The sequence below is a fragment of the Homo sapiens genome, chromosome 1 (assembly GCF_000001405.40).
Source record: "Homo sapiens chromosome 1, GRCh38.p14 Primary Assembly".
Classification (NCBI taxonomy): domain Eukaryota; kingdom Metazoa; phylum Chordata; class Mammalia; order Primates; family Hominidae; genus Homo; species Homo sapiens.
The window spans coordinates 87,193,264-87,209,595 of NC_000001.11; the positions used below are offsets into that span (position 1 = coordinate 87,193,264).

The 16,332-nt window shown below is 41.1% G+C and overlaps 4 annotated features.

Moving 5' to 3' along the window:
* Positions 7,237-7,738: an enhancer, noted in NCBI's record as "OCT4-NANOG-H3K4me1 hESC enhancer chr1:87666183-87666684 (GRCh37/hg19 assembly coordinates)". NCBI's record gives its function as "activates a minimal SCP1, AML or CMV promoter by ChIP-STARR-seq in naive H9 embryonic stem cells {active_cell/tissue: H9 hESC(naive)}" and the evidence as "EXISTENCE:reporter gene assay evidence [ECO:0000049][PMID:30033119]".
* Positions 7,739-8,238: an enhancer, noted in NCBI's record as "OCT4-NANOG-H3K4me1 hESC enhancer chr1:87666685-87667184 (GRCh37/hg19 assembly coordinates)". NCBI's record gives its function as "activates a minimal SCP1, AML or CMV promoter by ChIP-STARR-seq in naive H9 embryonic stem cells {active_cell/tissue: H9 hESC(naive)}" and the evidence as "EXISTENCE:reporter gene assay evidence [ECO:0000049][PMID:30033119]".
* Positions 9,640-9,689: an enhancer, noted in NCBI's record as "active region_1287". NCBI's record gives its function as "activates an Ori minimal core promoter by ATAC-STARR-seq in GM12878 lymphoblastoid cells {active_cell/tissue: GM12878}" and the evidence as "EXISTENCE:reporter gene assay evidence [ECO:0000049][PMID:35858748]".
* Positions 9,910-9,969: a silencer, noted in NCBI's record as "silent region_1043". NCBI's record gives its function as "represses an Ori minimal core promoter by ATAC-STARR-seq in GM12878 lymphoblastoid cells {active_cell/tissue: GM12878}" and the evidence as "EXISTENCE:reporter gene assay evidence [ECO:0000049][PMID:35858748]".

Consider the following 16,332-nt stretch of genomic DNA (forward strand, 5'->3'; position numbering starts at 1 on the left):
CGATGAGTTTTCCTTAGAACTACAGTGATTAATTCTAATTGGGTGGATGGCTCAATTTTTGTCAAAAAGAGATATTTCAAAATAAATCATTTCTTTTGGCCTTTGGAGATTGTGAAGGCACATAATCCAAAGCTTGAAAGATATTAATTTTAAATTAGAAAAATAATACAAATGCATGTAAAGAATGGTAAAGTGGGGAGTGCTATAAGATAACAAGCCACTCATAGGTAATAACTGTTAAAAGTGTTTAACTCTTTAGTTCTTGTCATAGTTACTGTTACAACTTCAAGTAGTGTACTTCTACCCACTAATTTATCAACTTTAGATCTATTGACTCCTTGCTATGCAACATGAAGTTAGATTAATTTACTTACACTTCCTTGTAATTCTTCTCTTTTTCTCCCAATTTTGATTAATTATGTCATTTTCACATTGTTAAAGTTTACATTTACATTTTTGGTGATTATATGTTTTCTGTACTGAGTTCATAGTTTGACTTAAAAAATTAAAAAACAGTCCTATGGTTATGAAATATTATTCACTACACAACCCATGAGTCTGTGTTTGGGTCTAAAGAATAAAAAATGAATCCTGGGTCACCATCGTATTTCCCTCAAGTGAGAATTCTGAGTGTTAAGGTCAAAGGGATTCTTTTAAAGTGCCTTTTTAGCTGTATTCATGTCTTCTGGCTAAACTGGACTCTTTTTAAAAAATCTCTCATGTTGTCTATCTTTGACTTCTTTGTTTGTTTGCTTTTCTGAGTAATTTTTCACATAGAATTGATAATGGCAAACTTTTTAGCCTTTGCAGTTTTTCAGATATCTTTATTTTATCCCATTTCTCTCTCTCTCTCTCTCTCACACACACACACATGCACACACACACCATTTAGTTGTTTCAGGGCTCAGAACACAATATCTCAAAATGTGGCGCTGTGGCATGCTGAGTACTTTGAACTGAAAGAGAAAGGAGAACTTCAGAAGCAAGGCCTTCCTGATCTCCCCACTCCCTTTTCTCCTTCTCTCATTCTCCCCAGAGATGGGTCATAAGAAACTAGAATTCCTCTTCCCCAAAGCAAGCCATAAAACCTAGAAAAATCACTCTCCAAAGTACCTCTTCTGAAAGTAGGTCATAAGGTCTTCATGTGACACATGTCCTACTCCATACCTGGAGGTAAGAAATGCTACACAGGCAGGCCAAGAAGAATCTGAACAAACAGGCCTTGTGGGGTTCCTCTCTCAGTTTGTTACCATTTGATCATACCCTTTTTGTCCAGTCATGTTTCTCCACAACTAGCCACTTCTTTTATCAGACTCAGCATAAAAAAAATACAGTTTTCCCTGAATTTTCAGGGAAGATTCAGGGAAAATCTGGAGGCTCCTATACCACATAAAACTTTATTGAATAAATTTGTTATGTTTTCCTCCTGCTAACCTGTCTTTTGTTATAGGAGTGTCTGCCATGATCCTTGCGATGGGTGAAGAAAAATATTACCTTTCCCTCCTACAGTTGAATACAGAATTCTAATTTTGAAATACTTTTTCTTAGGACTTTGAATGCACTACTCTACTTACTTTTTAGCATCAAGTATTGTTAAGAAATCTGTCAATCTACCCTTTATTGTGAATAGTCTATTTTTTCTCTATGGTAGTGTAAGATTTTCTCTTTATCCTTGGCTTCCTGAAATTTCATCAGGATATATCTTGAAATGGATCTTTCTTTTTCTTTCTTTCTTTTTTTTTTTAAATTCACACTGCTCATCATCTGGTCTGGCTTTTAAATCTGAAGACTTGTGTCTTCCACCAGAGCAAAAACTTCTCTTGTATTATGTCTTTGGTTATTTCTTTTCTTCTGTAGATTTTGTCCTATGTTTCTAGAACTCTGATTAGCCAGTTACTGACTCATAATCTCTATTTTTTATCACATTTACTATCTTGTCAGTTTGTGCCATATTTTGACAGATTTCTTGGAGTTTTCCAGATCTCCATTTGTCATCCATAGTGTATTCATTCAGATTGTCCATTAAATTTCTTATTTAGATATTATGTTTTTCTATTTCCAATAATTCCTTTTTGTTCTCTGAACAATTTAAGAAAAACAGCACCTTGTTTTTGGTTATTGAATATGTTGTCTTCTTGAATCTCTTCTGAAATTAATTGAATTTTTAAACAATGTTATTTTATTTTTTGAATAATCTCTGTTCCCTATAAGGTAAATTGTTCCTCCTTCTTTGCTTTCATCATTTCCTTAAATGTTTAGTAATTCTTGGAATGTGTCTCTACTATATATTCTTAGGAGCTGACGAGTCCTAAAATTTAAGAGAATTTAAAATTTGGTTTTCATTTTAGTGACAATCTTTTAAAATATCAGTTGCACATTCTGAAGTACCTAATATGACAAACATGTAAGAACCCACATTTGCATTTGTGTTTACTATGGCATCCAAGTCTTGTGTTGGACAAATGACGTGAGAACCCAATGTATGGATGATGATTTGAACAGACAGACAAGTCTGGGGAGGATCGAATCCTTATACAGTGCCTGGGCTTGGGTTTGAAAAATGTGGCTTCATTGTTTTTCACTCATGGATAAAGTGACTACATAACTTATAACTCAAGCTAGGATATATTTGAGAGTGAAAGGAAAAATGTTAATTGTGTGGAGATTATAACATAAACTGGAGCAATCTGAGTCACCCAGGATAACTGGTTATCTAATATTTAAGGCTGAGCCACCTTACATTTTACAGTTTTCTTCTTGGCAGCTGTTGCAGAAGTCCAGAATTCTCTCCAGCTCTACTCTGCTTCTACCTCAGTGCCCAGCCCCAGTACAGGACCCCCATCTAGGCAGAATACTCCCCTTCTCTAGGGAGAAATTCTTCTGGCTTTAACCGGAAGGCAAAAGCCACTAAATTGTTAACTGATCTGCAGGCACGGGCGAGGGGTGTGGGGAACATTTGCCTCATTGGTTCAGCTGTTCCAAATGCAGTTCTTTTAATTAATTGCTCCATGGTTTCTCACTCCCCACCCTGCTACCTCTCCCTACCCCTCCAGCTTTGCATTTGTTGAGCTTGGAACTTGTCCAGGACTTCCTTGCAGCTTCCTCAGTTCTCATTTCACTGTCATTCTAGTGTCATGTGCTTTGTGTTGTCCAGGAATTCCTCCATTTCTAGGCTACGTTGCATTCTACTTTTCTGGAACAGTTTTCGTTTCATTATTTTCAAAGACATCTTTTCTATAATTTCTATAGGATCTTTGGAGGAAGGGAAGGCAGATATCTGTGCTCAGAACATCATCATGAACCAGAGCTCTTTGTTCTATAATTTTGAATTTGTCTCTGAATATGGATGTATCTGCTCTCCTGGGTGTATGCACTACCTCGAAGTAAACAGTAGGAAAGACCCATGCAGGAGACTCCCGCCTTATAGTCTGTCCTCCCCTTTCCTAAATAAATTCCTAACCCTATACTCTATGAGGAAGTCAATTCTCAGGAGACAACTTTCTTAATTAGAACTCCACTCACTTTTTAGTTAACTATCTTTTTAGCTCATACTTATCCTGTATTAAAGAAGGAATAGTTAAGTGGTTTAAAATAGAAGACTTTTTTCTTCTAATGTTCTTTGGGTATATCAGAAAACAGCCAGAATTTTTTTTTTAATTAAACATTTGTTGAGAAACTATTACAATGTTGGGCTGAGTAACAAAGGGAAGTATAACAAACTAATTTCTGTGCTCATTATGTTAATTACCCAATGGAGTTGCAAATATATGCAGGGAAAATTAGGGGAAAACAGAGATAAGGTAGATGTCAGTACCTAAGTGCCAGGTCAGAGGCCAGACCTTCAGAGTCATGAATTCACAGGTTGGGAACTCTAGGATTAGGGGCTCAGGGAAGCCTTCTTATGTCTGTAGGACATAATTTGTCCTTTGAAGAAAAAGTAGAATTTTGACTGGTGAATAAGAGAGGCCAAATAATTGAGGCAAAGAATATATTATGGCCAAGAGTATATTATGGCCAAGAGGCAGAGCCTGCTGTATTCAGTGTTTGGTGGGTGAGTCGGAAAGCCAAGTGCAGAGTGTCCATGTGGTAACAGTGCAGGAAGTGGTCAGTTAGCAAGAGAGCTGGGAGCTTAGGGAAGTTCTGGAATACCAGCCAAGATAGTTGAATTATAGACTTGCCAGGAGATTAGGAGAATAAATACATAATCAGAGTTCTCCTTAAGAGGCTACAATGTGTTTAAGAAGCGTTTGTGAATCCAAGTTGTGAAGGAGGAAGAAAGAATGATGGTGCAAAGACCAGATAGAAGATTATTAGTTAATTATATCTTTGGTATTTATTAAAAAGTTACCATTTTTTGTTATAAAGTTAACAGAAGTCTTTGGAAAATAAATTAGATGACAATATCACCAATTGTTTTACACCAAGGTGTACTTATTAATTGATAGGGTTTGGCTATGTGTCTCCACCCAAATCTTATCTTGTAGCTTCTATAATTCCCACATGTTGTGGGAGGGACCTGGTGGGCGATAACTGAATCATGGGGATGGGCCTTTCCCATGCTGTTCTCATGATAGTGAATAAGTCTCACAAGATCTGATGGTTTTAAAAACAGGAGTTTCCATGCACAAGCTCTCTCTCTTTTTGCCTGACACCATCCCCATAAAATGTGACTTGCTCCTCCTTGCCTTCTGCCGTGATTATGAGGCCTCCCCAGCCATGTGGAACTGTAAGCCCACTAAACCTCTTTCTTTTGTAAATTGCCCAGTCTTGAGTATGTCTTTATCAGCAGTGTAAAAACACACTAATACAGTAATAAACCAAAAATTTTAATGAATTTAAGGTTTAAAATAAGCCTTCTTAAAGTTTGTTCCAAAATTTTTTGTAATGCCTGGGCATCCTGAGACTAAGGAATATAGCTTTCTCATATCATACCCCATAGGGATTCCAAAGGAACTTATTATTTAAAGATGTGTGTGTGTGTGTATGTGTGTGTGTGTGCGCACACGCATGCATTTGGCCAAAATTCTGTAAAGATGGACCAGTGGGTATGAGCACCACATTTATTGTATGTTGTGGTGCCTAATTCATTAGAAAAACTACAGGCATTTGGCAGATGACAAGAAAATGGGTAAGACCCACATTTTAAAATAGATTTTAAAAGCATTTTTGTTTATGTTAATGATAGGGCCTAAGAAGAAATACAAGAACTCCATCATTATAAATAAAGTTCTTCTGGAAGCAACGAGACAATGAAGGTGATGGCACTGTCTCTGAAATTCAGTAGCATATCAGATTTGGGTTTGCAGAATTAGATTTATAAAAACTCCAGATAGATTGAGGTACTTTAGTTCCAGCCTCTCTGTGCATCTTTGTTGTGCCAATCACTTTGGGAATAACAAAGTAGTTAAAGATAGGGTCCTTGTGCTCTAAGAGCTTGCCATTGAGTAGGGGCATAGAAGCCAAATTTTGTTATAATCTCAGAGTGGAATATTCTTAGGTTGTTAGCATATACTAACAGAATGGTCAAATAAAGCAACTCACTTACCATATTTCTTTACTTCCATCTGGTGAGAAACACAGGCATCTTGTTGATTTTCTGAAGCATCTCTCCTGTTGTCCTCTGCCTTGATAGAGTCCTGCTTTGTATATTTTTGCAATCACAGCATTGGATTGATTCAGGCCTAAGGAGGTAGGTGAGTGACCTTAGGCTCACATCTTGCCAGATCTAAGGTAAATTTAGGTTCCTTGTTTGGACACTTTATGGATTTGTTGAGCAGTCAAGGTGGGTTCTCCAAAAACCCACTGGTAGCCACTACTGCATTGGCTGGGAAAGCAAAACGGCAGTGGCCAGTGGACACTGTATGAACTCTTAGGCTTTTTAAAACAGGACATTGTGTTCCCTTGTCTAGAACTTAGGGTATTTGATTGGCACTCAGAGAATCCATTCATTCATATATTTAACAAATATTCACTGGGCATTCCCATGTGCCAGGTACCAAGGACAGATAATGACCAAAGCTCAGTTATATCCACAAGTAACTTTCAGCAGATGCAAGAGGCAGACATGTTGTGTAGTGAATATATATTGTTTTTGTTTATCTACTATCTTTTTTTTTTGGTAATAAGATTCTCTTTCCTATGGAGAACTTCTCTTTTTCAATTCCAAGTGGCTTTGGGAAGGGTGGCAATCATAGTAGTTCACCTCTACTCCCCATGACACTGTGGTGGGGGACAGGTTACAGACTTCATCTCCATACCTGCGGCCACAGTGATTAGCCCAGGAATAAACCTGCAAACTGAAGCAAGCTCAATGAGAGTAGTTCCCTGGGGTTTACTGTGTGGCTGCTGGGAGAAGGCAGCTCCATTTCCTTGGAGGCTGTTGTGATGATTAAACCCAGTATCCTCAAAGTCAGACTGTCCTCTAGCACTCTCTTCCCCCTTCTAGTTTCTGCTGCATAGAGGATAAGAAGCAGAACCACTAGGTAGAGAAAAAGTGAAAGAGAATGAGGAGAAACCAAGAGAGAATGTAAACCGGCCACATACTTTGAGTCCAGCTTTGCCCTGGCCATTGCAGATACCTGAGCCAATAGATTACCTACTTTTCTTAGCTTGAGTTGCTTCTCCATCACACATAATCAAAAGGGTCTTAACGAACACATAGTATAACTATCACTGATTGGAGTTAACATAGCTGCTGGGGGATCCAACCCTCATCTGGTCTCATGGAGGTAAGGGAGGACTCACTGAAAGCAGTGATATCTAAGCTGAGGCCAAGTAGCTTTCCAGGAAAACCAGAGCTGGAGGAGTGGGGAGTGTGAAAGTTGAAGAGTTCCAGGTAAAAGGAACATCTCATGCAAATACCTGGAAATAAGAGATAAAATGGTACATTTGTGGTATTACAGGGACTCTGGGATGCCTGGAATGGATTGTGCACAGTCTAGCTAAATGGCATTGAACAATCACTAAAACACTGCCTGTTCTAGGTCCTCATGGGGCAGAGATAGGTGAGAAAGATGGTCTCCACCCACAAGGAACCTATGATTTCCCTAGGAATATTGTACACAAATATCTACGAAGTTAAACAACAACATACATTTACCTAAGATGATATACCAGATCACTGACTGTAAAGTGGACAGGAGCTACGAGAATTCAAAGAAGACAACCATCACTGATGATTCCAGAGAGGAGCAAGCACTGGGCTGGCCTGAGTAAAGCGCAGGGTGTGTATGGATGTGGGGTCCAGTGCAGAGCAGAGCTGGTTTGGGGACCAGTGAGGACAGCAGCTAAAAGCTCAGCAGGGTTAAGTTGGGGAATAGTAGAAAATAAGCTTGGAATGGTAGCTGGTGGAGGGCTTGGGCATCAAGAGACTGTGGACTTTATGCTGAAGGCAATCAAAACTAGCTTTTGAAGATCAGGCAGGATGAGGTATTCAGTGGGTCAGGGTAGGGATGACATGACAGCAGCATGCAGAGTGACCTGGGCCAACTGTAGTCAGGAGGCCAGTGGCAACTTGCTTATGGCCTGTGCCAGGGCAGTAGCAGGGACAGTAAGAAAGGATGGAAGGGAGACCCTTATGAAGACAAAAGAAGGGATGGACTTGAGTTCTGGGATGTGGAAAAGAAAGGAGAAGGATGAGCAGGGCTGCGCACCTGTCAGACAGCATAGCCTCTTGCTATCCCATGGAGATGGGCTCTGCCACAATGATCCCTGCACGCCACGCGGGGTGCTCCACCACACTCAGTCTCTGGGGAAATATGCAGCTGCTCCCACAGTGGCGGCAGCAGCCTTGCCGAAGGACAGGGATGGATGACAGAAGTGATTATGCAGTGATGCATAACAATTGAATTGCTATAGGTTACACCTCCTGTGTCAATCTGCAGAACCGGTTTGACTGAATTCAGTGAAAAGAACACCTGAATTCAGGAAGACAACACATTTTCTGAAGTGTCAGCATGACACCAAGGACCCTGCCTAAACGTTTCAACTTTCTTCCTTTCTTTTTTTTTTAAAAACAAAACAAAAACAAACAAACAAAAAACAGCTCTATTGTTACCCAGACAAATAAGAATAGTTTGGTAGCATGCCAGGCTACCGAGGCCAGCTCACTTGCTATCTTAACATAGGTCAGTTAGCTCCCCATAGACTTCCCCCTGTGTGTCAGTACAATAAGTGTGCACTGAGGGCCTATAAGTGCCTGGCAAGTGCTAGTGCTGGGGCTACTGAAATGGATACAATAGGATTCCAGCCTCAGGGTGCTGAAATCATTGGGGGCAAGTGTGCCTCGTGGGGGCAGAAAGTCCTAATTTCAAATCCCAATTCTGCCATTTACTAGTTGCAGGACTTCAATCTTGTTGACCTTCAACTTCCTCACCTGTAAAATGGGGATGATAGTACCTCGGGTGAAAAGAGATATTTATGTGTGAAGTGCTTAGCATGGTGAGTGGCACGTGTGTCTTCAATAAAATGATGCCTATTTATCATACAATGTGGGCGATGGCGTTCCTGAGGTATGTGCATGATGCTATGGAAACACAGAGGGGGCACAGTTAGCCCAACTTTAAGGGGTTCTAGAAAGGCTACCTGGAGAAGATGACACCTGAGTGGAGTATTGGCGGTGGATAAGGATGGAAATAGGAGAGAGGAATTCCAGGCAGAGGACAAGCGGCGCCTCCTGACAGAGGCAAGTTGCCACCTGCTGATTAGTTAAGGCTGTGTGGCTAGCCCAGGGCCCACCCGCCACCTGGCTGGAACGGCAACTTCTGAGTTGTGCCTTGCTGAGTGTGAGTCTGACTTTCACCCTGGGTTCCAGGACCTGCAGAACAATAGCCGGTGACGCTGGTTATGTTTCATCCAATCGTTTACAATCAGCCAGGGAAGCAGCTCTGCGCTGCCCCAAACAGTAAACTAGCCTGTGTCTGTCATTGCACTCATCCCACTGGACTCCTGAGGTCAAGGGGAAGCATGCAGAAATTGTTTAGGGAATGTCCTCCAGTTGCCTGACCTAGGTTTAAAAACCGGAAATAAGGCAATTAGTAAAATGTCCTAGTGCTCACAGATCATGGCTTTCTCTAGGCCCAGAAAGCAACTCCCTTCTTTTATGTATGTCTTGCTATTAATGCTCTGTAGATGGTTTCTTCGGGACCACATTGTTATGCCCAAGTTCTAGATGGGACAATTAAAGACGGACAGTCGGGTTATTTTAGTTGCCTTTGGAAACAGAATTTACAGTGCTTGCTTGTCATTTTCAATTTTCCCCTAATAGAGCCGTTTCCTCCTTTCACCTTGGAGGAAGCAGCGCCTTGGTGGTGGAAGGAGCCTCTCACTGGGCTGGCTTTTGCAGGGGCCATGGCGTCCCTCTGGATGAAAGGCTCAGCGGAACTCTAAGTCATTATCGTGATCAAGGACGAAGGAATCGTTTCCGCGTGTAAATGCAGATGCTCTCTTGGTTTCTGTGATAGATGTGTTCCCAGTGCCAGTGCAGCAGTGTGTTGAATTCTTTTTAAAATCTGAAAGACCTGCAGGCTCTTCTCTCCTTTTCGTAAATCCATTTCCCCGTTGAGATGAAAAATGTAATACTTTTCAGCTTACTTTAGACTTTCTTCAAAAGTATTTCTGGAAAAGGATCCTTCATGTGGAGCATATGAAAACTGTCAGAGGATAGGAGAAAGCGAGGTTTTAAAAACACACTAATGGATAGCCATTATGCCGTGGGGAGTTCCCCCGGAGAGCAGAAAAATACGAGCTGGGGAAGTCGGGGGTGGGAGTGAGTGGGGAGCGGAGCACAGAGCCTATGGGTTAACAGACGAACACAATTTAGAGACAGAAAAAACTGGGTATGTACGTTAGTCCCCTTATCTGTGGTTTCGCTTTTCACAGTTTCGGTTACCCGTGGTCAACTGAGTCTGAAAATAGGTGAGTACAGTACAGTAAGATATTTTGAGAGAGAGAAGGAGGGGAGAGAGAGAGAAAGAGAGAGAGAGGCAGAGAGAGAGAGAGAATGAACATTCACATGACTTAACAGCATATTGTCATAATTGTTCTATTTTATTAGTTATTGTTGTTAATTTTTCACTGTGCCTAATTTAGAAATCAAAATTTATCATAGGTGTGTATGTATAGGCGGGAACATAGTCTGCATGGGGTTCAGTACTACTCTCAGTTTCAGGTATCCACTGGGGATCTTGAAGCGCAACCTCTGCAGATAAGAGGTGACTACTGTAATAAGATGGGAAAACATTAATGGCCAAGATAAAGAACGCTGTCAAGGTTTCCCTTTCAGAGCGCTAGAAAACATCAGTTTTGTAGTCTGACAGATGGAGTTCAGACGCTGACTTTTGCATTTGCTAGCCATGACATTGGACAAGTTAGGTTTTGTGTGACTCAGTTTCCTTGCCCAAAAAAATGGCCATAAAAATGACTTCTTCATAGGGTTTTGAGCTAATTAAACGAAGTAATGTATGTAGAGTGTCCATCTTATTCTCTGGTATACAGTAAATGTTCAGTAAGTGCTAGCTTTTGTTATTATCATTATGGTTATTCTCACTGACATGAGGAAATAGGTAGCATCATAGATAGCTTTCAAGGAGGTGGCCAGTCTCAATTCCCATCCAAGTAAATATGTGCATGCCTTTCATTTAGCTGACTGGCACCCTTCTCTCTGGCTGGCAGCGGATTAGCACACTGAATCCCATCCCTGAGATGTCCTGGCACACATCCTGGGCCCCTCTGTGAAGTGTTTGCCATGGCCTCGAGCCCCTCAGGTTGAGTGCACTTGTCTGCAAAGGGCTGTGTTCTACAGCAACGTGGGACCCACGAAGGAAGCCTTATGATTCATTTTTCATCTCATCATTACTCGCCTTGCCTGTATGCCAAGGCTGGGAAGCAATGGGCCAGAGGTTTGTGCTCTGAGCAATTCTGAATCATGTGGAGAATATGAAGGAAAATGAGAAGTTTAAAAATACTCCATAGGAAAGAAATGGTAAGTAACATGGTTTCTTTTAAACTTTCCCAATTCAACTTCTAGAAAAGGTGTCATAAACCTCTGCAGGGGTGACTAAGAGCTGGGACAAAGGCAAGTCTGTTACAGATGTCCCCGTAACTCCAGGAGCAAATCTCTTTCTTCCCCTCCTAAATAACTCCAGAACATTACATGGCATTAACAAGTTTCCCAGGACAGGAACTTCTAGTTTATTACTTGCTCACATTGTCATCAGAAATTAATTTTGTCCCTGAAAGACAAATTGGCTGGTAGCTTACGAAGTTAAATGGAAAGAACAAGTGCGCATCTGTTTCTTCTGCATTTTGTCTCCTTGGTGTCTTACATATAAATGAATCAGAGTGTTCAAACTTAAATTAAGATCTTTGGCTAGATAAACAGTTAAAACTGGTTCCCATAGCTACCTCTCACACATAGCTGTGATTGCATTATAATCCCCTAGTAATCAGCTCTAAATGAAAGAAAGATGATAAGGGTGCTCTTTTCAGTTTTCAGTACTGATTTTTATTAGCTCTCAATCAGTCCGGGACTACTCTGTCTTTCATCACATTGTGGTAGTGTTTGTAGAATCATTAGAGTAATAAAGTGTAAATCTTACTGAGGTGCATTTTTCTTGAGGTGTTTTATATAACGAAAACTCTGAAGATTACACTGGCTGGTACAAGGAAGATTTGTTTCTGCGACGAAAGTAAGAATGTAATGTATGCTATATTCATTTAATCTTTACCAGAGTCAAAACCTAATGAATTATCTGGCCTAGGTAAAGCAACTGCCGCAGAAAGCTCTTGGACTTAACGCGGCCAAGTATTGCCCTAATAGAGATTTGCATGTATTTGGCTATTTCCTAATTTGGCTTGTTATCCTTCTTCAACACACTTCCAGTGTAAAACCCTCACATCTACAAATGCATTACCCACAAAACCGCAAGCTTTGCTATTCCCAGTGTGATTTCTCTAGCAAACGAGTGTAATCCAATAAAACATCATGTCCCACCAACATTGAAGTATTTATTGTGGAATAAATTTCAGTTTAAAAAAGCGTGCTTGCCCCTCTTCCTTCTCATATATCATAGAGTGACCAGTCCTCTCAGCTTCCTTTGTGCTGGGGATCACTAAGTGGGGAAAAGTGGCAGCTGGAGATAACAGCTCTCTGATGCTCCGCTGCATTTGTTCTGGATTTTTCTAGGCCTGTCCAAGAGATGGTAGCATGGAAAGGAACTTGCAGTGACTTTTCCAAAATGTGGGATTTTTCACAGATTTTACAGGTGTGCTACACATTTGCAATGAACAGAATACTTAATCCTGACGTGCTTTTCCCTTCCCGTAGGCTTTATTATAGCTGGAATATGTGACAAGGCATCATACCTATAAAAATGCCTGCTTGTTTTAAATGTTGGATTTTATGCATTTTATATTTATATTAGGATGAGAGTGTCCCTATATTTTAGTGACAGACATTTACGCTCATCCACAGGGTAAGAAACAATATAATGTAGCAGTATGTAGTCTCTGCAAGAGTTTATAGAAATGTGGTGGTTTTATATTTAATTTTAAGTTACTATTTTTTAAAGAAAGATTTTGCCTGAGATAATTATTACAGTTCCCATGCTCACATGGTGATAATGCGCACCTTTGCAACAAGCAGAGTATCTGAAAGATTCAGGTAGTCAGAGAGTCAGTTGGTGGCACTGTGAAGATTTTTGCCAGGTATCTTTTTGGTTTATACCACTATATGTAAAAATATGTGTAGGATTTGACCTGCAGATAGAATTTTTAGAGAGCAAGAGGAAGAAATCACTTGATTTGGGTGGATCAAAATCATAAAGGAAATTTTGTTTTCAGTGTTCTTTTTTAACCCTTATATAGCCTTGAAAGAGACTTCATATGTTATTTACTATTATATCCAAAAATATAAAAGCCTGAATACATGCATTGGCTCTCTCTCTCTTTCTTAAAGAAAGCAAATAAAATATTTTGCTGATGATGGCGCTTTTTGTATGTGTTTGCATGTTGGTACTTAAATGCAATATGTCTGGAAGATGTTGCTATTTCACACTACACGCACAAGAAAGAGTAAATTGTAGGTCCTGATTATCAACAGATAACAAGACATACTGTATATAAATAAATGCTCAGCATCAAAACCCATTATTGGATTAGCTATATAATCATGTCTCAGGCTGTAAGTCTGTGCTGACAAATGAACACTTTTCATTTGGCTCAAGGTCCTCATCAGCAACGGAACTAATTTTACATTCTCACCCATTAAGTGAATAAGATGTGGAAAAAGCTGTCTGCTTTTTGAAGTGTAAATTTGCTGCTACAGGCTGTGCAGACCAAAGCGCTTTTGAAGCAGGCAAATGAGATCATCTCTAGGGACATGTGAACCTCACAAAGTTTAGGTCATTTCTGTTGAAGGGACGGGGCGTGCGTCTGTGTGTTCACCAATGTTCATACGATGTAGGTAGCTGTGTACCTTGGGCTGTGTGGGTGTTCTTGGACGCAGATGATGAATAGTTTGTATAAACCTGGGAGAGAATTTGGAGCACTGTCTTCATGTTCTCTAGAAACCAAGGACCCAGAGAATCTGTGTGAAGCCTGAGATGGAACAGTCAGGGGTTGGCTTGTTTGACAGTCAGGATCTCAGCCCTCTGAGAAGAATGACCAACCCTGAGAAGGAGCAACAATGGCTCTGCACCTCAGTTGTTCTTGGTGACTTTAATTCCTCTCTACACTCATGACTGCACATTTAAATCTCTAGAGCACACCTCTCCTTGGAGTTCCAGATCCTTATATGCAACTGTCTACTTGGTATAACTACTTGGCTGGTTCATACATATCTCAAACTTAACATTACCCAAATAAAACCATGGTAGTCTACCCCAAAACATGTCTCTATCCCCCAGTTGCTTTTCATCTCCTCAATTACATCAACATCTTCCTCCTTGCTCAAGCCAGAAACTGAAGTGTTATTTTTGCTTCACCCCTTTCTGTCACCAGTGAAATACAGTCTATCAGCAGTCATGCTGGTTTTAGCAACAAAATATCTCCTGGGACACCTAGCCCAGGCCCACATCAACTCTCACCTAGGCAGCAGTGACCCTAGTCTCCCAGATCTTGCCTCTGCACCTCCACTCCAATCACCCCTTCTTCCCATTCATACTTAGCAGAGACTAATCTTAAAATGTGGGTTTTATGGGTTGACTTGTGTCCCCACCCCAAAATTATACGAAGTTGTAACCCCAGTACCTTAGAATGTGACCATATTTGGAAATAGGGTCATTGCAGATATAGTTAGTTAAGATGAAGTCATGCGGAATTTGGGCTCCTACCCAATATGACTGTTGTCCTTATAAAAAGAATGCCACTTGGAGAGAAAGAGCCTTGTACAGAGAAAAGATGTTGAGAAGGCACAGTTAAGCACCGTCTACAAGTAGTGCCAAAGATTGCCAGCCAACCACCGAAAGCTAGGAGAGGGACCTGCAACTGATCTTCCCTCAGAGCCTACAGGAGGAAATGACACAGCCAACACCTGGCTCTTGGACTTCTAGCCTCCAGAACGATGAGACAGTAAATTTCTGCTGTTTAAGTCACTCAGCCTGTGGTACTTTGTTATGGCCGCCCTAGCTAACTAATACAGTTGGAATCATGTCCCTTCACATCTTAAAGGCCCTGATGGCTTCTTGTTTCATTCAGATTCAAATTCAAATGCCTCCCATCATGACCTATAAAACTCTTCATGATCTGGTTAGTAAATTTCTGCTGTTTAAGTCACTCAGCCTGTGGTACTTTGTTATGGCCGCCCTAGCTAACTAATACAGTTGGAATCATGTCCCTTCACATCTTAAAGGCCCTGATGGCTTCTTGTTTCATTCAGATTCAAATTCAAATGCCTGCCATCATGACCTATAAAACTCTTCATGATCTGGTTCTGGCTGGCTTCTCCAGTTTCATCTCCCACTCATGCTTCTTTCCTCATCTTCAGCCACACTGGCAACTCTCTGTTCCTCAGTCACACTGCACTCTCCCTTTCCCAGCCCCTGCACACGCTGTGTCCTCTACTTGCAGTGCCCACCTCCTCCCTCACTCCCTTTGCGTGGCTAACACCTTATCCTTAGGGTCTTCATTTACACATCACCCTTCCCCATTCCTGCTGTTATGCTCTGCCTTGGCCTGATTTTTTTCTTATAATTATCATGATATGTGTTTCCTTTATATTCTCGTGTACTTTCTTCCTTTGATCTAGTCTCTGAGGTCCACAAGACACATCATTCTGGTTCATCAGTGTATCTCTTGTGCCTAATACAGTGCCTGGCACACACCGGATGTTCAGTAAACATGTGTTCAGGGGGTGAATGCATGGAAGGTGTCTAGGAAGCCCCCTTCCTCAAGTCTCATGGCTGCTGAATTTATTGTCACATAAGCCTTTATCTTTTTGGTTACTATTTGGAAAAAGATGAATTTTACATGGGAAGCATCCTTTGATTTCTCCTTAGGTTGGAAATGTCTGGATCACTTCACATCCTTAAGGTTTTATGTCTAGTATTGGAGGACTTAACCAAGAATCTAGGTGTAGTGATACCACAGGAAGAATGGGTGGAGTCAGGTCTTTGCCCATTAATCGCACCAAGATATTTGTGAAACTTCTCACATAAAAAATGTGGCCTCTTGGCAGGCCAAAGAGTACATTGCTGTATAGAAATACTCCCTGGACTCAGCTTTTGCCAAGTTGAAAAATAGGAAGTTGTGTGGGTGAGTGTGGGGGAGACTGCTAGCTGTCCACTAAAATCTGTTCTTTCTTCCTGGGCACACGATGAAATGATATATCCCAGCCCCCCTAGCAGTTAAGTGTGGTCACATGACTGAGTTCTCTCCAGTGGTTTGTGGGCAGAGGTGCTGGGTACTATTTTCAGGCCCAGCCCACTGAAAACCTCCCACACGCACTGCCCGTGATCTTTTCTCTCCAGTTGGTGGGGCTCTCAATGCCTAGGGCAACCTTAGAAACCATGGTTGAAAATGGAAAACCACCATCAGCCTGGGTGTCTGAAGACGATATGGAGAAAACCCTCCCTTCAGCCCTGAACTGACCAGGTGATCCTGCTGAGCACTTTATATTAAGCCACTGCAATTTCAGGGTCTATCTCTAAGTGCAGGTTAGTCAATCCTAACAGCATCATGACCTCTTCTTGAGGAAGATCACACTCATGAAAGGAGTGAAGCCATCAAACACCAAGTTGCTGATAATGCTGGCTAAAGGAGACAAGCTTGGGGAAGGAGGGGAGTGGACTGTTAGAACTGACTCAGGCAGGAATCTCTTCTCTCTCATGCACCACA